Below are 27,872 nucleotides of genomic sequence, written 5' to 3'. Positions count from 1 at the left end.
TCCTGTCTTGACTCAGTGCCTTCCTCTTGAGCACGGTATGTGAAAATACCTGGTGTTTTCAAGCCAAAACAACATGAATTCAAATCCAATCTCTGCTATTTAAGAGTGGGATGGTATCTCTGAGCCTCAACTTCCCCATCTGTAGAAGAGGGAGAATGATTCCTACTTTGACAAATTGCTGCGATTTCAGATAATGTATGCAAGCACCTTAGAACAATGTCTGGAGGTTGTATTCCCTGAAAAGCAAACTCTAAGATCAAGATTAGAATGCAGATAGACTATTAAGGGAGTATTATCAGGATCATGAACTGCAGAAGGAAAGAAAAGGAAGAGGCACTCTGATCCCATAAGAAGCTTTGAAGGGGCAGCCCTTTGAAGTGATCCCAAGCTGGGGAAAAGGGGCCTGGCCTTTATACCCCATCATAGATAAGCCAGCAGATACCTCAAAAGAAGGGTTGGTTTTGGTCAAAGCATCTCTTCTCAACTAAGGAAATTTCAGAAAAGTTGAGCCTCTGGGTCTCAGCAACTGAAAGAATAAATTCTCAAGCCTGAATGGGGAGATCTGGGTTGCAAAACACAACATCTATGACACCTGGCATTTGCCACACTACTCGGTATATTGTGACATTTGCAATTATTACTGCCATCATTTTTTTGTTATTAATTTTTAAAATTTTTATTTATTTTTTGAGACACAGTTCCACTCTTGTTGCCCAGGCTGGAGTGCAGTGGCGCAATCTCGGCTCACTACAACCTCTGCCTCTCAGGTTCAAGCAATTCTCTTGCCTCAGCCTCCTTAGCTGGGATTACAGGCATGCCTGGCTAATTTTGTATTTTTAGTAGAGACTGGGTGTCACCATGGTCAGGCTAGTCTCAAACTCCTGACCTCAAGTGATCCACCCACCTCAGCCTCCCAAAGTGCTGGGATTACAGGCGTAAGCCACCACACCCGGTTTTTATTATTATATTATTTTGTTGAGACACAGTCTCACTCTATCGCCCAGGCTGGAGTGCAGTGGCGTGATCTCAGCTCACTGCAATCTCTGCCTCCCAGGTTCAAGCGATTCTCATGCCTCAATCTCCCGAGTAGCTGGGATTACAGGCACCTGCCACCGCACCCGGCTAATTTATGTATTTTTTTAGTGGAGACGGGGTTTCACCACGTTGGCCAGGCTGGTCTCAAACTCCTGACCTCAGGTGATCCACCTGCCTCGGCCTCCCAAAGTGCTGGGATTACAGGTGTGAGCCACCGCGCCCGACCCCGGCTAATTATTTTCAATTTTTGTAGAGATGGGGTCTTACTATGTTGTCCAGGCTGGTCTTGAACTCCTGGCCTCAAACAATTCTCCTGCCTCGGCCTCCAAAAGTGCTGGGATTACAGGCATGAACCACCTCGTCCGGCCTCTCCCTGAGTAACTTCAGTCACTGGTTTCACGCTCACAGTATTAGCGTACCCAGTCATTGACGCCAGGCATAGCGTCCACACTCATGGCTGCAGTCCGGGCATACAGCAAGGGCTCACCACAGAACGAACGCAGTGGAGCTGGGAGAATACCGGAGGTCTGAGAGGAACCTAAGCAGTTCCCGCCCCTCCTCTATCACATGGCAGTCGGGTAAAGTGAGGCCGGGAGAGAGAGGCTTCAGCGGCTCACCCGGCCCCCGTGGGCCTGGATCCAGGGCGTGAGGCTGTGCGCGTGCTCTACGCTGAGTCCGGCCCGGGTGTCCCCCAGCTCGGCCACGCGCCGGCTCAGCTCCATGGCCAGGGCCAGGGGCTCCTGGGAAGGAGGCGGGGGCCCGGGGCATGCTCGGCTTGGGCGAGAGCTGTCCTCCCGGCTACAGAACAGCTCCACCAGGCGGGCGAAAAAGCCGGAGGCCAGGCTGATCCGCTTGCTGCGGCAGGGCGGGGTCCGAGGCCAGCAGGGCTAGGCGGAGATTTCAGTTGCTCTTGCTGTTCCAGCCGCTGGGCCACCAAGGCATAGAAGTCTGGAGTAGCTGGGCCAGGCTCTGAACCATAGCAGGGGCGGATGGGCAGAGACCAAGGCCGAGGGGACTCAGAGGGGGCTGCTCCTCGCCCCAGGGAGCAGGGAAGACATCTTCGAAGGCGGCTCAGGAAGTCTGTTGGCTCTTCTTGGGCATGGCTTCTAGGTGGATTTGGAACAGGAGACCCAGCAGCCTCACCACGCCTAAGGAAGGCAGCTAGGACCCTCAGCGTGTCTTCCCGGAGCCCCAGCTCTTCAGAGCCTGCCATGGAGGCACCTGATCTGGGGCCCCACTGCCACCTCCTCCGCTCAACTTGCCATCTCCTCCACTCAACTCCTACTGTCATCATTTTTACACTTCTTTGTATAGCCACTGCTCCTGACTTATTCTAACCTTATCCCCTCTTGTCTAGAATGTAAAAGATTTTCCTAACTGGTTTCTGTAATCCATATTACCTTCATCCAATCTGCTCTCCATACTGCTGCCACAGTGGTAGTTAGGAAATAAATCTAAGCATCTCATTGCCCTGCCTAAAATACTTTAGTGGTTCCCCACCAACTTCAGAATGAAATCCTAATTTTTGAATATGACCTTGAACATAACATGCATCTGACTTTCATCCTGATCCTTGCACACTTTTTCTGCCCACTTTTAGCCACCCCACCCCACCCTACACTGCTAACAAACTCTTCACATTGGTTTGTTGTTTCCCCCATCCCACCCCTTCACCCAGTTAATGTCTACTTATCTTGGGAGACTCAGCTCACATGTCAACTCCTCTCAGAAGCCCTCCTAGGCCTGGCACGGTGGCTCATGCCTGTAATCCCAGCACTTTGGGAGGCCAAGGTGGGCAGATCACCTGAGGTCAGGAGTTAGAAACCAACCTGGCCAACATGATGAAACCCCGTTTCTACTAAAAATACAAAAATTAGCCAAGCATGGTAGTGCACACCTGTAATCCTAGCTACTCGGGAGGCTGAGGTGGGAGAATCGCTTGAACCTGGGAGGCAGAGGTTGCAGTGAGCCAAAATCGTGCCACTGCACTCCAGGCTGGGTGACAGAGCGAGACTCCGTCTCGAAAAAAAAAAAAAAGAAAAGAAAAAAAGCCCTCCTAAACCTCTCTTCCCTACCCTAGATTAAACTAAATATTTACCTTGTGGATTCCCTTTTTACCTGTGCATACCTCTGTCAGAACTTTTCTCCCCACCTAGTACCTCAGTTTCTCCCAGAGAACAGAGCCCTGTCTTACCTTTAAACTGAGACCCTATTTAGTGCCCAATATGTGATTAGAGCATGCAGAATTAAATCTGTAAGAGAAGTCATCCTTCTGGTGGGAGGGGAACCACTTACAGTAGACCCTCAGTGCAGTTTTTTAGGAAATATAGCTGGCCCAGCACTTTGGGAGGCCGAAGAGATCGAGGCCACCCTGGCAACATGGTGAAACCCCATCTCTACTAAAAATACAAAAATTAGCTGGATGTGGTGGTGGGCGCCTGTAGTCCCAGCTACTTGGGAGGCTGAGGCAGGAGAATCACCTGAACCTGGGAGGTGGAGGTTGCAGTGAGCCGAGAGATCACACCACTGCACTCCAGCCTGGCAACAGAGTGAGACTCCGTCTCAAAAAAAAAAAAAAAAAAAAAAGAAAGAAATATAGCTGGTAAGCACAAATCAAATTCTGGTGCATTAACTGTTATTACACCAAAATTCTCAGTTTAGCACCAAGATTTTGAGGCAAACATTATTAAGTACAACAAGCTTATAATACAAGAAAATGTGACCAGTTTCCCAAGGTTTATGCAATGCAATTATGTAATTCAGATGTCCCCCAAGTTTCTCCAGCCTTCCAACAAAATATCCCGACAGGAATGTTATCATCCTGTTGGGGTATTTTGTTGGAGCTAGATAGAGGTGGTGGCTCACAACATTTTGAATGTACTGTCACTAAATTTTCCACTTTAAAATGACTAATTTTATGTTATATAGGTTATGTTATGTGAATTTCACGTCAACTTAAATAACACACAATAAAATGTTGTAATACCCCAGTTTATTAGATTAGCATGCCACCCAGTCACTCACCTGGGTCCGCTCCCAACCCATCCTCACCTCTCACTTTGTATGTGGCTCCAGGTTCCTCTGCTAATTATCTCCTGCCCTTGTATCACATTAACAGATTTCTAGGTGGCTGCATTTTTCTTTAAATCATACCCCACACCCACCACCCCTGATACCACCATGGACACATTTTCCTTGCTTAATCCTCCAAAGTGCAACCAAGAACAGAAAGTAGTGTTTAACAAAGCTTTCCTGAAAACTTGTAGTGAACAAAGGAAATTATGATGCAAAAGAGATAAACATAAAACTGAATCCTGTGTTTGCTATAAGAAGTCATGGGCTATAAAATACATTGTTAATTTAATAACTCAGGAGAAAAGAAAAATCTCATTAAACATTTACAAAGGTTTGATTTTAAAAATTTCATAGTTGCCAATAATAAGACAAATTTATCCCTGCAATTCCATTATCCTTTCTTCTTCAGTGTCAAAATGCATCTAAGCCTTCTTCATATTGTTAATTTAAAGGTTCTGCCATTTGCAGTTATACAGAGCATCACAAAGAAATGTTGGTATTCATAACTGTGTGTGGGATCCTGACCTTTTTGGGTCTTTAGTATGCATAATGTAATAATCAAGCTTACTCAGAAACACTGAAGTTTTGTAGGCATTTCTTATTTTATTAAATGTACAGTGTTTTCTAATTTTAAAACCCCAGTGTAAATTCATAAAGGTGCATCAGGCTGCCATTCCATTCCTGTTTGTGACTCCTGAGAACATAGCAGGATTCTAAAACTCCAGCCTTGTTGATGGAACAAAAAATGCTTTTTCCTAAAAAGTAAATATGGCTTCAAGCTCTGAAATAATTTCTCTAGTGTTGCCCAGGAATTTATGAGGGAAAAAATAGATTCAAAAATATAATGGTATCTTATACTATACAGTGTTCTTTTAGGTATATAGAACATACATGCATATATATAAAACATATATATATTTTATATATATATATTTTATATATATATAAAATATATATATGTTATATATATATTCACTTTTACAAAATTTGAAAGCACGCCTGAGTTTGGCAGGGCTTACTCTAAGGTGGGCAGACACTGCTTCCCCATTAATGTTCCCATCCTGATAGCCAGAGTAGTTTCTAAGACAAGAATTTCTTTTACTGGTGATGAACAGTTTTGGTACATTTCAAGAGGAAGATTTTTTTCTTCACTCTTGCATATTGAATCATTTTTCCAAGTAACGTAAAAATGCTAAAAAGGACTTGCCTGCATTCATTAACAACCCAGAGGTAATCCTTGGCAATGCTGGGATCCACTGGGATTGCAATCCCTGCAATCAGAGCCCCAAATGTCAAACCCAGGTGGAATGGAGTGTGGGATATTAAAAATATCTACACCCACAGGAACTGAATTAGACTGAGAAAATAATTTCATAATCTAAACTAATTCATTTAGAATTTATTGAGCAAATGAATTGAAAGTGACTAAAAATATCATTAAATTATAGCCACAGCTCAGAAATTACCATCCTATTCTGTCTATGTTTTGTTTTTAGTATCTTTAGGATCAAAATGAGCTTACCTGAGCTGCCCCACATGAGCTGCCTCACCTGTAGGATTTAGTCTTTATTTTTTTCCTGCAGATCTCAGCCCATCCTAGAAAGTACATTTGTCTATTCTAGCAAGAATGGATAACAAGCTGATCTGATCCTCCAAAAGAAGGCAGAATCATTATGACTATGACCAAGAATTTTGGTGCCAGGCAGAAACAGGTTCCCCAGAGAATGTGTAAATTTAGTTAACCTCTCTGACCTTCAGGTTTCTTATTTGTAAAATGAAGACAATATTATCTACCTCTTAAGAGTTCTTGTGAGTACTTAAGAAGATAATATCTTTAAAGTGTTATATCAATGTATGGCACATCATAAAGGTGTCTGTAAGTCATTATTTATAGCATAATGGGCAAGTTGTACAGCCTAGAAGGCAAAAGCCTGGCAATACATAAATAAATAAAGCAAGCTGAAAAAATGCAAAAACCTATAGCATTTCATGGCCCTCAATAAAGTGACTAGCTCATTGATAAATGTTTGACCTGAGCCAGGCCAAATAATTCAAACCTAGGACTTTTGGGCTTGGATTATTTTGCTGGAGTTCTTAGGAGAATAGAACTCCTTTGGTGTTACTACACTGTGAGAATAGGAATCTGAGTGTGCAGGAGGCCATTCTGCTGCCTCATGGAAATGAGGCCAAAACAGAAGAGAGCAGAACATAAGAGATAAAATTGAAAAAAGAACAAGATAGCATCCTGATGGCCTCAGTTGGGCTCTGGATCCAGCATTGCCTAAAGTGAGATCTACCATTGAAATTTTCAGCCACAAATACCTATGAATTTTCTTTTCATTTAATTCAGTTGAAGTTGGAGTTTTGTTTCTTGCAATTAAAGATTTCTGACTAATATAGCTTGGCTTTTGGCAGAGAGAAATATAGTGGGGCAGAGGTAGACAGAGGCAGTGCTGCACGGCCATTCCTCCTCTACCCCACCAGCCACAAAGGGAACTCATTCCCATGACCTCCTTTCTGGTCCTTGAACCCTTACGGCAAAAAGAAGTATGTAAATTAATATGATGATATTGCTAACCTAATATTTTATTCTAAGTATTCTGCCCTAGAACCTTGGAGAACAGGTTCATCTTTGATTTCCCCATGGGACTAAGCACATAGCTAGCAGATAGCATGTAGACAGCAGATGCACATAGGATTTGGAACACAGAGGTGCTTGGATATTTGTTGAAGAAGGCAAAAATATTGCCCAATCACCAACCTCTACTTCATTTTCTTACATGAGATGGAAAAGAGACAGAGGCGATTCAATTTGCTGTAGCCTAGATCAAATCATTTGAGTTGCCACTGCAGAGAAAAGGCAAAAGGACAGACCATTATAGTGTCCTCCTCTCCTCCATCTCTGGGAAACCCACTGTGTGCCTTCCCATTATTTTCTATTGACCGCTCCTTACTATTTCCCTGGTGTGCATTATATAATGGCTCCTTACATATTTTATTTCAGGATTTGGAATAAGATGACTCGCACTTATATGCATAATACAATGGGGCGAGTAAAAAAAAAATCTCATATTCCTAGAAGCAGGAAGGACACAGTGATTATGGTGTTTTCTAAGTTTGCTGGAAGTTTGATGGGGAGAACTGAGGGTTTGAGGGAGAATGGCTTCTTGTCCCCCATGCTGGTTTCATTTTCTTCCTCAGAAGACCACTGTGCTTTAAAGCCCAAGAAAGTACCCATTGCAACCAGCACCTTTTTTCTGCTTGAGACCTCCCATGTGCCCATTGTTGGGACATTCACCTGTGCTCATGGGAGAAAGTGTACAGTTTAGATGACGAAGACTATTTCCCTTAGAACCAATGTTGATATATCTTATTTTCTTCTCTGACCAAGTCACAGGCTTCTTTTTGCAAAGGACTTGCCTACTCATAATGACATTTTACGTGTGAACATTTCCAATCTAATTGATGTTTCATTTTTTAAATTATTTTCCCCTTCCTTTCTGGCCATAACTTAAGCAAGGAGACATTTTATAAAGAATTCTGCTTTCAGTCTCCCAAAACAGCAAGCTCAAAGGCTGAGGATCACATGAAGTGGAAATAATAAGAATGTGAATTAGGAGACCTTGGGTCTAAACCAGGTTGTACTAGGTAAATGGCTTCACGAGGGATGTTTCTAGATATGTTGTCTTGGACAATTTACCTAACCTCTCCAACCACAGTACTTTCCTCATAGATTGTTGTGGGAGTGAAATGAAATAATATTTGCAAAACATTTAGCACAACACGAGACACTACATAAATAAATTCAAAAGTAAATTTATTATTGGTGATTTTATTACTGCTATTATTACTGTCATGGTATAACAGGAGTTCCTTTGCCAAAGAACACACATTCTCTCAAACAAATTATCATTCCCATCATGATGAACTCACTTGAAGGAACTTGTTTTCTTTTAAAGTCAAGTCTGCAGACACACCTAGCATTCTCTGCAATGCTCCTGGACTGGGTATTGTGAACTTCAAGGAGGAAGAAAGAGATGGAAGGATGACAGGCAAGTGCACCTTGTCCAGAAAGGAGTCATGGCTTCCTGGTGCAGTTAATGATGATGATGCTGCTGACGATGTTTTTAAACAGTGAAAACACTACTTTTGCATATGTTGTATTTCCATAGTAGTAAAAGGAAGCCAGCAAACATGAAGATAAAGGACACTAGAGGCCAAAAGAATGATGACAGGGTCTCCTAACATCTTCTTAGGAGTCTTGCATGATTACATCAAGATGAATTATTCATGCTAAAAACACCAATGAGAAAGAAAAGGATGTATGGAGATTTTTTATAATGATTATAATACCTAACAGAAAGTGAATATAAATATTATTATTAACAATTGTAGTCAGCATTATTTTAGTTCTTACTATGTGCCAGGTACTGTGTTGAGCACTTTATATATATTATTTCCTTTAATCTGTACTGTTACCTTGTGAAGGAAGTATTTTTTTATCATACTTTAAAGATGAGGAAGCTCAGAGAAACTAAGTGATTCCCCGAGATGCATAGAAATAGTGACAAAAATAGGATTTAGGATTTGAACCAAGACCTGACATTTCTTAAAAAAAAAAAGCTCTTGGCTATTATATGAGTATATCAATATTAAGCCCTCTGCTTCTGCTAACGTTGCTGGTGGAGGAGGCAGAAGCATGCTGATGGGCAAGACAGAAACTCTTCCTTTTGCTAGATGTTTGGTAACCCAAGTTCAGGCCTTTTCACCCAAGTCATAGTTCTGGGGTTGCCTCTACTCCTGCTGGTATGGTAATTCTGGCTACTTTCTCAGTATTTCATACCAGATTTCCACATATTTTTGAGTTTTTTGTTATTGAAGTATACTTCACATACCATGAAAGTCACCCTTTCAACATGAACAGGTCAGTTGTTAGTACATGCACAAAGTACACGCATCTGCAACCATCACTTCTAAGACTTCCAAGTGTTTCTGGAGCTCTTATTATAAATATGGGGTTCCTGCAAAGGCCAAACAACCACATCCTACGACTCTGCCTTTACAGAGTTTGCAATTTAATTGAGAAGCCATGATTTAGAAGCTTGAGGCTTCTCACTACTTATAATAAAAGAGAATTATACCATGCAAGAATATAAATATATATATTATACACACATACACACACACACACCACAATAATTGCTAAGAAAAGAGGGGAGCTAACAGCCAGGGCTATTGATTATGAGAAAGTCTTCATGGAGGGGGCAGGCCTAAGGCAGGCCTTGCAGATGAAGGAGAATTGGAGAGGTGGTGTGAGCAAGGAGGGACATCAGATGCAAGGCTAAATGGTTCAAGTGTTAAACTCTTGCCAAGCATAACTGTTTGCCCTACTGAGAGACTGGCTGAGACTTTAATAGGAAATAAAAAAGAGATTAGATGAAGCACAGTGATTTCACCCAGAAAGCACCTGGTCTATTTCAAGGTAATTTATATAATTGTGACCAGAAGCTCATCTCAGAAGCTCAGGTGTGTTGCTCATTTGCTTCAGGGGGATGTGTGCTTTGTGAAGCAAGGATACATTTGGACCTAGGTTGGAAATTTCCACTCTAAAAAGCCATTTTGTTCCATTTTGAAATAAAGGGACAGTGAAAGCCGTGCCCCACGATGCTTCATGGTTACTAAAACTGCAAAGGCATTTATTTCTGCCTGGGCATAAAGAATTATTTTAAGCATCATCTCCCGGGCTCCTTGGTTACTAAGGGAATCCTGTCTCGTCTCAGCTCAGCGGCACAGATGGGTAAGTTGCCATGACGATCCTGAAAGGCCTGGTTGGAGTCTAATACCACAAATGGAGGGACCACTGTCACCGCATGACCCCTGAAAGCTAGCAGTGCCCTTTCTCCCCCTTGCAGCCTGTCCATTCCTCCTACTGGACCCACATCAGCTGCCCAGTCCTTGCCACTGGGGGTCACAGGCACAGTGGAAAGGGAGCAAATGTCAGCGGCTCACTCTGTTTGATGGTAAATCTCCCCTTCGGTCCCAGACTGTGCTGTTGACGCTGGATCATAGTCAAGTCCCCATATCCTTTTGGGCATATACAATTCTTCAAGCCTGGCCTTTGAAGGGAGGACACACTAGTTTTTTATCCAAAAGCTACACTGGGTAGCACAAGAAAATATGGAATAAAGCTTATTTTTTCTCCTGTAAGCCAGACAGACATAGCCTGAAGCTTTTTCACAAGGTAAAAACACCCCACACAATAATTGCTAAGAAACGGGGGAGCTAACAGCCAGGGCTATTGATTATGAGAAAGTCCTCATGGAGGGGACAGGCCTAAGCCAGGCCTTGCAGATGAGGGAGAACTGGAGAGGTGGTGTGAGAAGGAGGGACATCAGATGCAAGGAACTGTCAGGCTAAATGGTTCAAGTGTTAAACTCTTGAGAGTTAGAATTGGTCAATCCCTGCAACTACCTAGATGCAACTTCATTATTTCACATGGACATATGCATGGTGCTTGTGGTTCTAAAGATGGCTGCAACAATCTTCCATCCACGTGTTCTTCTTACAATGTGGCTTTGCCATGTTCACATTCAGGGGTGGGTCTGTGTTTCTTCCCCTTAAATATGGGCCAGCTTGTGACTGAAGTCAAGTGACACTATGTGACTTTCAAGGCTAGGTCACACCAAAGGAAATCTGGTTCTCTTGGCTAGCTTGCCCTGGGAACCCAACCACCAAATTTTGTACATACATCTCTGCTTTGGCACTTACCTCCTCCTGTTTACCTCCTTTGTCTTTTCTGCTACACTGTGAGTTCCTCGAAGACTGAGATTTTTGTCTTGATGCTCTAGAGTAGAAGAAAAATGGGAGAGTGATTGGAGGTTTTAGAGCCAGACAAACCTAGTTTTGAATTTCCACTGTGCTACCTATTAGCTAAGTGTTCAAGTTGCTTACCTTTTTTTCACTCTTGTTGCCCAGGCTGGAGTACAATGGCACGACCTTGGCTCACTGCAACCTCCACCCCCTGGGTTCAAGCAATTCTCCTGCCTCAGCCTCCCAAGTAGCTGGGATTACAGGCGCCTGCCACCACACCCAGCTAATTTTTGTATTTTTAGTAGAGATGGGTTGCTCCATATTGGTAAGGCTGGTCTTGAACTCCCGACCTCAGGTAATTCACCCACCTCAGCCTCCCAAAGTGCTAGGATTACAGGTGTAAGCCACTGCACCTGGCCAAGTTGCTTACTCTTTAACTGACATGCACTCACATATGTAAAATAGTGAACATATCTATCATTATTGTCAGGAGAAACTTCGATGATGTCTATTCCGAGCCAATTACCTGACATATAAAATGCCCAATAAATAACAGGTATTATCATTGTTATTTTATCTTCTACATTGAGTGAAGTGTGATTCAAATTCATTTGATTATTTAAACAATATTTGCCAAGCACCTACTACTAAAAACTGTATATTTCACAGTTGATATGCAATCAAGTATTTTTAATATATGGATGTACAAAATAATGCAACTGATCATTAATTTGGATTTTTAAAGGATATAAGCCTTCTTACCAAAAATTACTTTTTAAATTTCAACAGCTTTTGGGGTACTAGTGGTTTATGGTTACATGGATGAACTGTATAGTGGTGAAGTCTGAGATTTTAGTGCATCCTTCCCCTGTGTAGTGTACATTGTAACCAATGTGTAGTTTTTTTAATCCCTCACTGCCAACTCACCTTCTCCCTTGTGAGCCCCTAAAGTCCATTATACCTTCTGTCTGCCTTTATGTACCCATAGCTTAGTTCCCACTTATAAGTAAGAACATACAGTATTTGCTTTTCCACCCCTGGGTTACTTCACTTAGAATTATGATCTACAGCTCCATCCAAGTTTCTGCAAAAGACATTATTAAATTCTTTTTTAAATGTCTGAGAAGTATTCCATGGTGCATATATACCAAATCTTCTTCATTCATTGGTTGATAATTGCAATTGTGAATTGTGCCATAATAAACATATGCATGCAGGTGTCTCCTTGATATAATGGCTTCTCTTGGGTAGATACCCACTAGTGGGACTGTTGGATTCAATGGTAAATCTATTTTTAGTTCTTTAAGAATTCTCCATACTGTTTTCCATAGAAGTTATACTAGTTTACATTCCCACCAGTAGTGTATAAATATTCACTTTTCACCACATCCATGCCAATATGTACTGTTTTTTGACTTTTTAATAATGGCCACTCCGGCTGGGGTATGGAGATATCTCAATGTGGTTTTCATTTGCATTTATCTGATGATTAGTGATGTTAAATGTATTTTCACATTTTTTGTTGGCCATTTGTATATGTTGTTTTGATAAATGTCTCTTCATGTCATTTGGTCACTTTTTTAAATCTTTTTTTATTATACTTTAAGTTCTAGGGTATATGTGCACAACGTGCAGGTTTGTTACATATGTATACACGTGCCATGTTGGTGTACTGCACCCATTAACTCGTCATTTACATTAGGTATCTCTCCTAATGCTATCCCTACCCCCTACCTCCACCCTACGACAGGCCCCGGTGTGTGATGTTCCCCTTCCTGTGTCCCATTGTTCTCATTGTTCAATTCCCACCTATGAGTGAGAACATGGCGGTGTTTGGTTTTTTGTCCTTGCGATAGTTTGCTGAGAATGATGGTTTCCAGCTTCATCCATGTCCCTACAAAGGACATGAACTCATCCTTTTTTATGGCTGCATAGTATTCCATGGTGTATATGTGCCACATTTTCTTAATCCAGTCTTATCACTGATGGACACATGGGTTGGTTCCAAGTCTTTGCTATTGTGAATAGTGCCTCAATAAACATACGTGTGCATGTGTCTTTATAGCAGCATGATTTATAATCCTTTGGGTATATACCCAGTAATGGGATGGCTGGGTCAAATGGTATTTCTAGTTCTAGATCCTTGAGGAATCACCACACTGTCTTCCACAATGGTTGAACCAGTTTACAATCCCACCAACAGTGTAAAAGTGTTCCTATTTTTCCACATCCTCTCCAGCACCTGTTGTTTCCTGACTTTTTAATGATCACCATTCTAACTGGGGTGAGATGGTATCTCATTGTGGTTTTGATTTGCATTTCTCTGATGGCCAGTGATGATGAGCATTTTTTCATGTGTCTGTTGGCTGCATAAATGTCTTCTTTTGAGAAGTGTCTGTTCATATCCTTCGCCCACTTTCTGATGGGGTTGTTTTTTTCCTGTAAATTTGTTTGAGTTCATTGTAGATTCTGGATATTAGCCCTTTGTCAGATGAGTAGATTGCAAAAATTTTCTCCCATTCTGTAGGTTGCCTGTTCACTCTGATGGTAGTTTCTTTTGCTGTGCAGACCCTCTTTAGTTTAATTAGATCCCATTTGTCAATTTTGGCTTTTGTTGCCATTGCTTTTGGTGTTTTAGTCATGAAGTCCTTGCCCATGCCTATGTCCTGAATGGTATTGCCTAGGTTTTCTTCTAGGGTTTTTATGGTTTTAGATCTAACATTTAAGTCTTTGATCCATCTTGAATTAATTTTTGTATAAGGTGTAAGGAAGGGATCCAGTTTCAGCTTTCTACATATGGCTAGCCAGTTTTCCCAGCACCATTTATTAAATAGGGAATCCTTTCCCCATTTCTTGTTGTTGTCAGGTTTGTCAAAGATCAGATGGTTGTAGCTGTGTGGTATTATTTCTGAGGGCTCTGTTCTGTTTCATTGGTCTATCTCTCTGTTTTGGTACCAGTACCATGCTGTTTTGGTTACTGTAGCCTTGTAGTATAGTTTGAAGTCACATTTGCCCACTTTTTGATGGGATTATCTGTTGTTTTTTCTTGATGATTTGTTTGAGTTTTGCCAAGAGCAGCTCAGTTGGGGAGACCCTAACCCAGTGGTGCTAGAGGAATTAAAGACACACACACAGAAATATAGAGGTGTGAAGTGCAAAATCAGGGGTCTCACAGCCTTCAGAGCTGAGAGCCTCGAACAGATATTTACCCACGTATTTATTAACAGCAAGCCAGTCATTAGCATTGTTTCTATAGATATTAAATTAACTAAAAGTATCCCTTATGGGAAATGAAGGGATGGGCTGAATTAAGGGGATAGGTTGGGCTAGTTAACTGCAGCAGGAGCATGCACTTAAGGCACAGATCTCTCATGCTATTGTTTGTGGCTTAAGAATGCCTTTAAGTGGTTATCCGCCCTGGGCGGGCCAGGTGTTCCTTGCCCTCATTCCAGTAAGCCCATCACCTTCCAGCGTGGGCGTTATGGCCATCGTGAACATGTCACAGTGCTGCAGAGATTTTGTTTATGGCCAGTTTTGGGGTCAGTTTATGGCCAGATTTTGGGGACCTTGTTCCCAACAAGTTTCTTGTAGATTGTGGATATTAGTCCTTTATTGGATATAAGGTTTGCAAATATTTTCTTCCATCTGTGGGCTGTCTGTGTCAGGCCTCTGAGCCCAAGCTAAGCCACCATATCCCCTGTGACATTTGGTGTCGTGACTCGGATCGGGGGACCTCCTTTGGGAGATCAATCCCCTGTCCTCCTGCTCTTTGCTCTGTCAGAAAGATCCACCTACGACCTCAGGTCCTCAGACCAACCAGCCCAAGGAACATCTCACCAATTTTAAATTGGGTAAGTGGCCTCTTTTTACTCTCTTCTCCAACCTCTCTCACTATCCCTGAACCTCTTTCTCCTTTCAATCTTGGCGCCATCCTTCAATCTCTCCCTTCTCTTAATTTCAATTCCATTCCTTTTCTGGTAGAGACAGAGGAGACGCATTTTATCCATGAACTCAAAACTCCGGCGCTGGTCATGGACTTGGGAAGACAGTCTTCCCTTGGTGTTTAATCACTGTGGGGACACCTGCTTGATTATTCACCCACGTTTCAGAGGTGTCTGATCACCGCAGGGATGCCTGCCTTGATCCTTCACCCTTAGTGGCAAGCACCACTTTCCTGGGGGGCAAGCAGGAAAGTGGTGCTTTCCTGTCTCTACCTGTGCTTTCATGTCTCTACCCTCTCTTTTCTCTGGGCTTGCCTCCTTCACTATGGGCAACCTTCCACTTTCCATTCCTCCCTCTTCTCCCTTAGCCTATGTTCTCAAAAACTTAAAACCTCTTCAACTCAACAACTGACCTAAAACCTAAATGCTTTATTTTCTTCTGCAACTCCACTTGGCCCTAATACAAACTTGATAATGGCTCTAAATGGCCAGAAAACGGCACTTTCATTTTCTGCATCCTATAAGACCTAGATAATTTTTGTCAAAAAATGGACAAATGGTCTGAGGTGCCTTACATCCAGGCATTTTTCACACTTTGTTCCCTCCCTAGTCTCTGATCCCAATGTGACTCATCCCAAATCCTCCTTCTTTCCCTCTCACCTGTTCCCTCAGTCCCAACCCCAAGCATCACTGAGTCTTTTCAATCTTCCTTTTCTATTGACCCATCTGACCTCTCCCCTCCTCCCCAGACTCCTCCTCAGGTCACTCCCTGCAAGGCTGAATCAGGCTCCAATTCTTCCTCAGCCTCTGCTGCCCCACCCTATAATCCTTCTATCACCTCCCCTCCTCACACTTGATCTGGCTTACAGTTTCCTTCTGTGACTAGCCCTCCCCAACATGCCCCCAAATTTCCTATTAAAAAGGTGGCTGGAGCTAAAGGCATAGTCAAGGTTAATGCTCCTTTTTCTTTATCCGACCTCTTCCAAATCAGTTAGCGTTTAGGCTCTTTTTCATCAAATATAAAAACCCAGCCCAGTTCATGACTCATTTGGCAGCAACCCTGAGATGCTTTACAGCCTAGACCCTAAAAGGTCAGAAGGCCGTCTTATTCTCAATATGCATTTTATTACCCAATCCACTCCTGACATTAAATAAAGCTCCAAAAATTAGATTTTGTCCCTCAAACCCCACAACAGGACTTAACCTCACCTTCAAGGTGTACAATAATAGAGAAGAGTTGCAATTACTTGCCTCTGCTGTGAGAGAAACCCCAGCCACATCTCCAGCACACAAGAACTTCAAAACGCCTAAGCCACAGCAGTCAGGCATTCCTTCAGGACTTCCTCCCCCAGGATCTTGCTTTAAGTGCTGGCAATCTGGCCACTGAGCCAAGGAATGCCCGCAGCCCCAGATTCCTCCTAAGCCTTGTCCCATCTGTGCAGGACCCCACTGGAAATTGGACTGTCCAACTCACCCGACAGCCACTCCCAGAGCCCCTGGAACTCTGGCCCAAGACTTTCTGACTGACTCCTTCTCAGATCTTCTCGGCTTAGTGGCTGAAGACTGACACTGCCCCATCACCTTGGAAGCCTCCTGGACCATCATGGACACTCTGGGTAACTCTTACAGTGGAGGGTAAGTCCGTCCCCTTCTTAATCAATATGGAGGCTATCCACTCCACATTACCTTCTTTTCAAGGGCCCTGTTTCCCTTGCCTCCATAACTGTTCCAGGTATTGGTAGCCAGGCTTCTAAACCTCTTAAAACTCCCCTATCCTACCTGTCCAAAAACCGGACAAGTCTTAAAGGCTGGTTCAGGATCTTCACCTTATTAATCAAATTGTCCTTCTCATCCATCCTATAGTGCCAAACCCATATATTCTGTTCTGGATCTCCAAGATGCTTTCTTTACTATTCCTTTGCACCCTTCACCCAGCCTCTCTTTGCTTTCACTTGGACTGACCCTGACACCCAACAGCCTCAGCAACTTACCTGGGCTGTACTGCCTCAAGGCTTCAGGAACAGCCCCCATTATTTCAGTCAAGCCCTTTCTCATGATTTACTTTCTTTCCATTCATCTGCTTCTCACCTTATTCAATATTTTGATGACCTTCTACTTTATAGCCCTGCCCCTACAAATCTTCTCAACAGGACACCCTCCTGCTTCTCTAACATCTATTGTCAAAGGGATATCACATATCCCCCTCCAAAGCCCAAATTTCTTCCTCATCTGTTACCAATCTCAACATAATTCTTCATAAAAACACATGTGCTCTCCCTGCTGATTGTGTCCGACCAATCTCCCAAACCCCAATCCCTTCTACAAAACAACAACCCCTTTCCTTCCTGGGCATGGTTGGATACTTTCACCTTTGGATACCTGGTTTTGCCATCCTAACAAAACCGTTATATAAACTCACAAAGGGAAACCTAGCCGACCCCATAAATCCTAAATCCTTTCTCCACCCCTCTTTCCATTCCTTAAAAACAGCCCTAAAAGCTGCTCTCACACTAGCTCTCCCTAACTCATCCCAACCCTTTTTCATTACACACAGCCAAAGTTCAGGGCTGTGCAGTCGGAATTCTTACACAAGAGCTGGGATCATGTCCTGTAGCCTTTCTGTCCAAACAACTTGACCTTACTGTTTTAGGCTGGCCCCCACATTATTCCTGATACCACACCTGACCCCCATGACTGTATATCTCTGATCCACCTGGCATTCACTCCATTTCCCCAATTTCCTTCTTTCCTGTTCCTCTCCCTAATCACACTTGGTTTACTAATGGCAGTTCCACCAGGCCTAATCGCCACTCACCAGCAAAGGCAGGCTATGCTATAGTATCTTCCACATGTATCATTGAGGCTATTGCTCTGCTCCCCTCCACTACCTCTCAGCAAGCTGAACTCATTGCCTTAACTCGGGCCCTCACTCTTGCAAAGGGATTATGCATCAATATTTATACTGACTCTAAATATGTTTTCCATATCCTGCACCACCACGCTGTTATATGGGCTGAAAGAGGTTTCCTCACTACGCAAGGGTCCTCCATCATTAATGCCTCTTTAGTAAAAACTCTTCTCAAAGCTGCTTTACTTCCAAAGGAAGCTGGAGTCATTCACTGCAAGGACCATCAAAAGGCATCAGATCTGATCACTCAGGGCAACGCTTATGCTGATAAGGTAGCTAAAGAAGCAGCTAGCTTCTAACTTCTGTGCCTCATGGCCAGTTTTTCTCCTTCTCATTGGTCACTCCTATTTACTCTCCAAATGAAGTTTCCACCTATCAATCCCTCTCTACTCAAGGCAGATGGTTCTTAGACCAAAAAATATATATATATCTCCTTCCAGCCTCATAGGCCCATTGTATTCTGTCATCATTTCATAACCTCTTCCTTGTAGGTTACAAGCCATTAGACCACCTCTTAAAACCTCTCATTTCCTTTCCATCGTGAAAATCTATCCCCCATCTGCCACTCTTGACTCCCTCTTGGAGTGGATAGATGATCTTTGCTGACAGAACACACTCCAATACTTTCACCCCGATGAAGTCCTATTCCTTACTTTTATACTCACTCTTATTCTAGTCCCCATTCTTATGCTACCCTCTACCTCTCCCCAGCTATCTCCACCACACTATCACTCTTACTCACTCTCTCCTAGCCATTTCTAATCCTTCTTTAACAAACAATTGCTGGCTTTGCATTTGTCTTTCCTCCAAAATTGCCGAGGCCTCGATTTACCCACTGCTGAAAAAGGAGGACTGTATATATTTTTAAATGAAGAGTGTTTTTTTTTTCTTTACCTAAATCAATCTGGCCTGGTATATGACAACATAAAAAAACTCAAGAATAGAGCCCAAAAACTCACCACCAAGCAAATAATTATGCTGAACCCCCTTGGGCACTCTCTATTTGGATGTCCTGGGTCCTCCCAATTCTTAGTCCTTTAATACCTCTTTTTCTCCTTCTCTTATTTGGACCTTGTGTCTTCCGCTTAGCTTCTCAATTCATAAAAAAATGCATCCAGGCCATCACCAATCATTCTGTATGACAAATGCTCTTTCTAACAACCCCACAATATCACCTTCTACCCCAAAATCTTTCTTCAGTTTAATCTCTCCCACTCTAGGTTCCCATAATACCCCTAATCCTGCTCGAAGCAGCCCTGATAAACATCATCCATTATCTCTCCGTACCACCCCCAAAAATTTTCACCGCCCCAACACTTCACGACTATTTTGTTTTGTTTTTCTTATTAATATAAGAAGACAGGAATGTCAGGCCTCTGAGCCCAAACTTAGCCATCATATCCCCTATGACCTGCATGTATACATCCAGATGGCCTGAAGCAACTGAAGATCCACAAAAGAAGTGAAAATAGCCTGAACTGATGACATTCCACCATTGTGATTTTTTCCTGCCCCACCCTAACTGATACGATATAACCTCCCCTCCCCACCCTTAAGAAGGTACTTTGTAATATTCTCCCCTCCCCCCTTAAGATGGTACTTTGTAATATTCTCCCCTGCTCTTAAGAATGTACTTTGTACGCCTATCCCAAACCTATAAGAACTAATGATAATCCCACCACCCTTTGCTGACTCCTTTTTCGGACTCAGCCTGCCTGCATCCAAGTGAAATAAACAGCGTTGTTGCTCACACAAAGCCTGTTTGGTGGACTGTCTTCACACGGACGCGTGTGACATTCTGTTTACCCTGATGATGATTTCTTTTTCTGTACAGAAGCTTTTTAGCTAAATTAGGTCCCATTTATTTATTTTTATTTTTATTGCATTTGCTTTTGGGGTCTTACTCATACTAATAATGATTTTTTTAGACCTCCAAAGGAAACTAGAAAATAGAATACTGGCTGGGTGTGATGGCTCATGCCTGTAATCCTAGCACTTTGGGAGGCTAAAGCAGGAGGATTGCATGAGGCCAGGAGTTTCAGTCCAGCCTGGACAACACAGCAAGACCCTGTCTCTACAAAAAAATGAAAAATTTAGCCAGGCATGGTGGCACTCACCTGTAGTCCTAGCTACTCAGAAGGCAGGCAGGAGGATCGCTTAAGCCCACAAGTTTGAGGCTGCAGTGAGCCATATCATGCTACTGCACTCCAGCCTAGGTGACAGAGCAAGACCCCATCTCTAAAAAAAAAAAAAAAAAAGGTAAGCAAAACTAAATAAAGAAAATAGAACAGTTTCTCTTAAAATCTTGATGTTATATCTCAAAATATTCCAAAATCAAATTCTGTTTGCTATATGAGTTACCAGCATTTTGAACTTCGGGCTTAATTGTCTATAATAGTCTTCCATTTCTGCTATAACAAAGTACCCAAAGCTAAATGGCTTAAACAACACAAATTTGTTATTTGACAATTCTAGGGGTCAAAAGTTTGACACAAGTCTCACTGGGCTACTATGAAGGTGGCTGCAGGGTTGCATTCTATTCTGGAGCTCCTACAGGAGAATATAGTTCCTTGCCTTTTCTAGCTTCTAGAGGTCACTGCATTCCTTGGCTTGTGGACCCCTTCTTCCATCTTCCAGGTAAACACTGTTAGGTTGATTCTTTTTACATTGCATTTATCTTACCCTTCCTCCATTGTTACATTTCTCACCACAGCCAGAAATGTTCTCAGATTTTAAGGATTCATGTAATTACATTGGGCCCACCCAGATAATCTAGTATAATCTCCACATCTCAAGGTTCAAAACTCTAATTACATCTGCAAAGTCCCTTTTGTCACGTAATAAAGGACATTTACAGATTTCAAGAATTAGGACGTAAACATTTAGAATAATGTGACTATTGTGGCTGGGCGCAGTGGCTCACACCTGTAATCCCAGCACTTTAGGAGGCTGAGGCAGGTGGATCACGAGGTCAAGAGATCAAGAACATCTTGGCCAACATGGTGAAACCTGTCTCTACTTAAAAAAAAAAAAAATACAAAAATTAGCCGGGCATGGTGGCGGGCCCCTGTAAACTCAGCTACTTGGTATGCTGAGGCGGACAATTGCTTGAACCCAGGAGGCAGAGGTTGCAGTGAGCCTTGATCACGCCACTGCACTCCAGCCTGGTGACAGAGTGAGACTCTGCACTCCAGCCTGGTGACAGAGCGAGACTCCATCTTTACAAAAAAGAAAAAAAAAAAAGAAAGAATAATATAACTACTGTTTTCTACCTTCCAGAAGGACTTTCACTTAGAAGACTAGAAGGGACCTCAGCTGGACAGATGAACAGGCAGAGAGGTGAAGTGATTTACTCTGTGTCGCACTGCTAGTTAAGTTTAGACCTGAGATTGAATCCCAAGTCTCTTGGCTCTGAGTTCACAGCCATTTTTAGAATGCTGCTACCCAAAATGTGGTCAGCACTGACATCATCTTGAGCTTCTTAGAAATGCAGACTCTCAGATCCCACCCTAGACCTAATGAATCAGGTTCCGCATTTTAGCAAGATTCCCAGGTAAATCTTGTACACATTCAGGGTTGAGAATCACAGGCTTTCAACATCACGTGGGCTCTGAAAAGCCTCCAATGAGGTTGCATAGGAATTGAATGGGTGAATATCTCAAGCAGTTCGGCCTCATCATTCTCTCTTGAGACCGACGGATTCTGATCTAGACTGATGAGACGCCTAAAGATGCAGGCTTAGCACTATCATCATCAATCTTTGTTGGTCTGGGGCATCCTCTGGATGCTGAGCTGAGTGTTCCAATAATGTGCTATGCAGCTTTCTCTTCTAAGGACAGAGGCAGTACAGCAGATCAGTTAAGCACTTGGACTCTAGACAGCCTGCCTGGCCTCAACTCCTGTCTCCACCACTTACTTAACAAATGTAAAGTTTGTGCACTTGAATGACCTGCTCATCGTCTCTGTGCCTCAGTTTCCATATTTGTAAAATGGGGTTGAGACTAACAGTACCCACTTCACAGGTGAGGATTAAATAAGTTAATATATGGAAAGCACATAGATCAGTGTCTGCCACTTAGCAAAAGCAATGCAAATGTTAGTTATTTATCATTTTTCAGGGAATCCCTAGGCCTCCTCTAAGTGGAATCAAAATCCTAAATGAACTCAGTCTTTAGAATTTCTCCAGATTCTGTATCTGTAAGGCTCAGAGGGGTAATCCTGATTATGATTCTAGGTGGCTAGAGTATCCACTGGTTTGGAGCTATACTCTGGCCATCAAAACTACACTGGCATTGGGAGGAAGACCAGGGAGGAAGAGATGTCCTTTTGAAAAGCATTGGTTCCCTGGCATGTGATGCTACATTGTCTGTTGCTAATATTTTTTCTAAGTAATCAAAGAACTTTAAAAAATGGACATTGGTATAATTACATTAAGTTTTGAAACCTTAAACCCAGATTACTACATGGCCATACTGCTTTTTTCTATTTTTTTAAGGCTTTCTTCAAGCCAAATGAATTTTAATTCTGATCATCTCTTGGAACCCTAAAGTCTGTGGGCTTACTTGGGAATTTACAAATAAAAATTATGTTTTAAAAGCAATATATTAAAGTTACAAATTGTGATTTGGCCTTACTGAAGGACATTGAAGCAGAATTCATTCTCTTACTGAATGAGTATCTGTGGATTTTGCAATACAGCCTTTCAAATTTTCTATTTCAGCCAGCAATGAAATCTTAAAGTTCAAAAATCTCTTAAAGTTTATTTTATCTATATCCCCATTGAATGCTTGACTCACTTTCATAACATCTTTACTGATTTTAAAATATGCTAGATTCTCACAACTTGAGAAAAATGGAGAAAAAAAAGGATAACTTAGTAAATCCAAACTCATTGTTTAAAAGATTTCTAATTTCAAATATAAGGTATGTTATAAACTAAGAGACAGCATAAATGAATACTAAAGTGGAAATTACCCAACACAAAATTTACCATCTTGCAATAATCCAACTATACAGGATATATCACAAACATTATAAGAGCTAATGGTAGAGCCTAATGGCAGGAACACATATAAAAGATTATTTCCAGTGAACTCTTGCTTTGAAATCTGCTCCTTCTATGATGATTCTCTTGTATTGAACATGGCTTTAGTAATTCAAAAATGAATCTATTCCTAATGTTTTATTTAATAAGAGAAGGTTTATGAGATCATCTGTTGGTCTGAATTAGCGGAGTAAGAGTTATAGAACTGTACCACTAAAAAGAGAAAGTGCAAGTTATCTTCGTTCCAATAAGGAATTGAAATCTTAGAGAGGCAAAATGGCATTACAGTTTCAGGGTCTAAGGCAGTGTCTGAAGGATGACATCAGAAATAACAGGAAGCTCTAGGTCAGTGCCTGACTGCCCTAGAAAAGCCTAGGCTGGGTCCCTTGACAACTGGGCCTAGTAGCTGTCAGCAGCATATTACAGTGACTAAATCAAGTATGACACCACTCAGCCCTGGCTGGCAATCAGGAGACACATTTTTTACGACAGCAGACAAACCATGTTTTACTTTGATTCAGTTCAGCGGTGGTGCCTGCTGTCAAGGTCCTCCTTATGGACTAGGAGATATTTGGTACTATGGGAAAAGGTTAGACCAAATGGCTACCTCTTCAATCCTCACTGACCACTGCGTGTGATTACTTACCGATTTTCCTCTTTAGCCTTAAAGAAATTCCAAGGCAAGAGTAGTGACATATTTGTCATAGAGAGCCAAAGAAACAAAATGTCTAAAAGCATAAGCTCTATCTATGGTCACAGTCTTTGGCTCTACCAGTTAATAGCTGGGTGATTTTATTTAAGTTATGTAATCTCTGTATGCCTATTTTCTTAACTGTAAGATCCAGATAATTATACTATTGTCACAGCAGATTGTCATAACAATCAAGTGAGAAAATACACTGAGAGAGTAAAAATGAATACTATTAGTAACTGGACTGCAGTGTTTATAGCAGAACATCAATACAATATTTCTTTTTTTTTTTTTTGAGACGGAGTCTTGCTCTGTCACCCAGGCTGGAGTGCAGTGGCTCAATCTCGCTCACTGCAAGCTGCGCCTCCCAGGTTCACACCATTCTCCTGCCTCAGCCTCCTGAGTAGCTGGGACTACAGGCACCCGCCACTACGCCCGGCTAATTTTTTTTTGTATTTTTAGTAGAGAAGGGGTTTCACCATGTCAGCCAGGATGGTCTCAATCTCCTGACCTCGTGATCCACCCGCCTTGGCATCCCAAAGTGCTGAGCCACCACGCCCAGCCCATCATTACAATATTTCTTACAGACCGTACTGTAGGCCACACCACTGCAGCAAAATGACTAACAGTTCCTTATTCTGAGTGATTCCTGCTTTCTTATGAACATCATGCCCACTTCCTCTCTGTTCTTCCTGTCTCTAGAACAAAGACTATCAAGATATCCAATTGCTGAACTGTCCTTTCTTCTTGACAGCACCCATTCTAAAACAAGTTCCTGCTTCTCTGATGCCACTTTAAAATCACTCAGCCTTAAGTCCAAATTTCATTTCAAGCCCCTCCCAGGTCACTCTTTTGGAAACATCCTCAGACATATGCTGTCTTTTGCTGCATCAAGCTAATTAAACTTGACTTTGTATGAGTTCACGTTTTCTTCTAGTAGCCTTGGCTTATGGGCTTCCACAATGCTGAGCACATACTCTAGCACACTATATGGATAAGAAATGTTAGTTATTGGCAGTAGTACAGAAATCTTCTTATTCTCAACTTCTTGCATGTAGCACACCTCAAAACATGTTTGTTCAATGAAGAGCCATCCTTAAGTATCTGGGAAGCCAGGCAGCATGGCTAGAATGAAGAGATGTAGTTTTTCCTTCAAGGTCCAAAGTATTATTGAAAAGTGTCTAAGGTAACTGCAACAGCAATGAGTGGAATGAATGGACAAGCAAAGCAAAGATTTTTTAGCCCACTAAAGTCCAAGTAATGGCCAGGAATTGACCATTGTCTGGACCTGTTAAACCAAGATAGCCAGATCTCTAGTAAAAAGAGAAGGTTGAAATAGCTACACTTTAAAGTTCTTATTTCCAAATTTCTACAAACAGTAATCTGACAAATAAGGGAATTAGTAGAAGAATAAATGTCCTAGTCACATACATGGTTATTAGGCTAGATCTGGAACCCAAGACAGGGGATTTTTTGTGCAGGTGTATTAGCTATCTATTATTGCATAACAAATTACCCTAAAGCTTAATGACTCAAAAAAACGGTAATCATTTATTTTCTCTGGCAATTTCTCCTAGTCAGTAATTCATGAGCGGCCTGGCTGGGAGATTCAGGCTTAACGTCTCCATGAGTTGCAGCCGAGGACTGGTGGATCCACTTCCTAGGTGGCTCAGTCATGACTGGCTAGTTGATTCCTCTTTATATGTTCCTCCCTGCAGAGCTGTTTGAGTGTCTGCAGGAAATGAAGGCTAGCTTTCTCCACAGGGAGCAATCCAAGAGACAAAAACTGAAGTAACAATATGTTTTATGATCCAGCCCTAGAAGGCATACATCATTTCTATGGGTGTAGTCTATTGATAACACATGCCAACCCTGTTTCAGTGCCAACTCTGCTCCTCTGCCAGATGTGTTGTTTTGGACCAGCACCTAAATTCTGAGTCAGTTTCCTCATTTATAATAGAAAAATAAATACTTCCTTTCAGGACCGTTTTTTATGATTAACAAATATAGGATTATGAAGCGCTGCTTAGCATAATGCATTGCCTCACAACGGGCACTATTTAGAAGTGTCTTCATTTTCCTTAGCGTCCTCAGGAAGTCTGTCCTTATTCTTCTAAAGTTTAAACTCTGAACATCCCTTTTATTTTACCCCTGGAGAGGCGAGTCAGTCCCTTCCCACCCCTACCTACTCCAACTCACATCCAAAGTAGGACAACGGTGGAAGCAGAACTATAGTTTCCGGGGAGCGACTCGAGTGCCCGGAGTTCATTGTAAAACGCACCGGAAGTGGGTCCGGCGGCTTTCTTTCCGTCGCAGAGAGCATCGGCCGGCGACCGTTCCGGCGGCCATTGCGAAAACTTCCCCACGGCTACTGCGTCCACGTGGCGGTGGCGTGGGGACTCCCTGAAAGCAGAGCGGCAGGGCGCCCGGAAGTCGTGAGTCGAGTCTTCCCGGGCTAATCCATGCCGGGTTGGAGGCTGCTGACGCAGGTCGGCGCCCAGGTGCTGGGTCGACTCGGGGACGGCCTGGGTGCTGCCCTGGGCCCGGGGAACAGGTAGGAAGGTGTGAGGGTGTCCTACCTGCACAGTTGCGTCCTGAAGCAGTGGAATGGCCTGGTGCAGTTGGGCCTCCCCTGGGTGGAGGAGGAAGGGGCTCTGTTGAGACGTGGGACACAGAAGAATAAGGGCCGTTAACCTAAGGAAGCACGTTCTAAGGGGATTGAAGTGGTGATTTTTAAAAAACGCTTATGAGCCAGCCACTAGCAGCGAACGCTATTAACAGCAATCATATCTTACAATTAGTGAGCGTTTGCCAGGTACTAAGCGCTCTGCTAAGTGTATTAGGTGCCTTATGTAGCCTCACGGGAGCAAACTGCTATCATAAGGTTTACAGATAAAACTGAAGGTTAGGGAGGTGAGTTAATTTGCCCAAAGTCACTCAACTAATAAGTGGAAAATTAGGAATCTAGCCTGAATTTATCTGACTACAAAAGGAGAGTAGACTGCAGAAAGCTTTACTTCTGTTCTGACCCTCCATGCAAGAATTACACCCCTTCTTCCTGACCTCCGCCCACTAAGGTCTTTCTTGGTATGTTCACCTGTTCAGAGGTCATGCCTTTTGTGGATCTTTTAACTTTGCACACCCAGTTTCTTCACTTCTCTGAACCTAGGCCATGTCATTGCAGGGAGGAGGTGAGCTTGTTAGACAAAGATCAACATGCCACCTTCTGCCACCTCCACTGAATGTAAAACTATTAAGGTACACTTCCAAATGGGTTAGTGGCTTTTCATGTCTATAGGTAGGACTGTTTTTTGGGGAATATGTTTATCTGCGAGGAGAAGATGAATTTTTTTCTCCAGGGTAACGACTAACAGTTTAAATGTGAGCCTTATCCGAAGGAATGTGGGGAGTGAGGAAAAGGTTGGAGACCTGAAAAAAAGGTATACAGAATCCAAGCCCTTTCCCAAGGCCCTGACTACACTTTCCAATTTGTGACTTCCCTTTTCTATATTAAGTGGAGGAAGTTTTTAAATTGTGGTTTGGTTTTATTTATTTTTTCTTTTTATAGAACACACATCTGGCTTTTTGTTAGAGGTCTTCATGGAAAGAGTGGTACATGGTGGGATGAGCATCTTTCTGAAGAAAATGTCCCATTCATTAAGCAGTTGGTCTCTGATGAAGATAAAGCCCAATTAGCAAGTAAACTGTGTCCTCTGAAAGATGAACCATGGCCTATACATCCTTGGGAACCAGGTGATTATTTTGTATTTGATGAGCTCTCATTTCCTAATTACTGTGTGGCTGGACACATTTAAAATCATAGTGACTACTTGATAATTTATCATTTCTTGAATTTATTTTTCATGTGCTGCGTGTGTTTTATTGTGGTTTGTTTTGCATGTTTATTTCCAACTTCCTAGTCTAGTTTTAGTGAATGTCTGATGATAATAAAGACCTCCTTGAGAAGCTGTTTTATAGGTGAAGGGAGAATCATTCTGCATAGATTCTCTTGTTTACTTCAGCTAAAAAGAATATAAGTCAGGAAAGAAAGGCTGGAAGAGTATGATGTAAATTGTAATGTGTTGCATGGATGTTCACTTGGGATGCTCTAGCACTGTAGATTTGGGAAGCATAACCCCTGGATCAGCTCTTTGTGTCTAGAAGGATGCTAAACCCATGTGTGGCCAGACCAAGAGGAATAAGGCCTTTTCTATTAAGTGTGTGGTCCCTGGTTAGGGTTTATTGTGACAGTCGAATTGGATAGTTACCAAAACTTCTTAGTGAGGCAACTTTACCAGTTTATGCAAAGAATCTAAGTGTCTTGTTGTAGACTGACATATTTTAGCAATGTATGACCAGTTGTGGCAT

At 42.4% G+C, this 27,872-nt stretch overlaps 1 protein-coding gene, 1 long non-coding RNA gene and 1 pseudogene across 10 annotated transcripts in view, besides 2 other annotated features; 1 reads left to right on the top strand and 2 right to left on the bottom strand.

Moving 5' to 3' along the window:
* BCL2L12P1 (BCL2 like 12 pseudogene 1) lies at window positions 1,647–2,320 on the bottom strand (annotated as a pseudogene).
* Window positions 7,911–26,189, bottom strand: LOC105374114 (uncharacterized). Of its 9 annotated transcripts, none has more exons than NR_189110.1 (4): window positions 26,084–26,189; window positions 19,887–20,007; window positions 10,879–10,954; window positions 7,911–8,403 (listed from the first exon to the last, which is right to left on the bottom strand). It is a non-coding gene; the product is annotated as an uncharacterized LOC105374114 (long non-coding RNA). The 9 variants fall into 9 exon arrangements; NR_189112.1 differs by lacking the exon at window positions 26,084–26,189 and adding an exon at window positions 25,786–25,879; NR_189115.1 differs by lacking the exon at window positions 26,084–26,189 and adding an exon at window positions 25,704–25,735.
* Window positions 25,495–26,181: an enhancer, noted in NCBI's record as "NANOG-H3K27ac-H3K4me1 hESC enhancer chr3:131221451-131222137 (GRCh37/hg19 assembly coordinates)". NCBI's record gives its function as "activates a minimal SCP1, AML or CMV promoter by ChIP-STARR-seq in primed H9 embryonic stem cells {active_cell/tissue: H9 hESC(primed)}" and the evidence as "EXISTENCE:reporter gene assay evidence [ECO:0000049][PMID:30033119]".
* MRPL3 (mitochondrial ribosomal protein L3) overlaps window positions 25,817–27,872 on the top strand; it is a 40,760-nt gene continuing 38,704 nt past the window's right edge. Inside the window, exons 1-2 of the mRNA NM_007208.4 lie at window positions 25,817–26,058; window positions 27,073–27,257. Of these exons, the coding sequence (NP_009139.1) occupies window positions 25,967–26,058; window positions 27,073–27,257 (277 nt within the window). The 5' untranslated portion in view covers window positions 25,817–25,966. The remainder of the gene's footprint in view (window positions 26,059–27,072; window positions 27,258–27,872) is intronic.
* Window positions 25,919–25,988: an enhancer, noted in NCBI's record as "active region_20533". NCBI's record gives its function as "activates an Ori minimal core promoter by ATAC-STARR-seq in GM12878 lymphoblastoid cells {active_cell/tissue: GM12878}" and the evidence as "EXISTENCE:reporter gene assay evidence [ECO:0000049][PMID:35858748]".

Source organism: Homo sapiens, chromosome 3, assembly GCF_000001405.40.
Source record: "Homo sapiens chromosome 3, GRCh38.p14 Primary Assembly".
Taxonomy (NCBI): Eukaryota; Metazoa; Chordata; class Mammalia; order Primates; family Hominidae; genus Homo; species Homo sapiens.
Note: the sequence above shows the minus strand (reverse complement) of the source record. Positions and strands in the feature narration are given on the sequence as shown.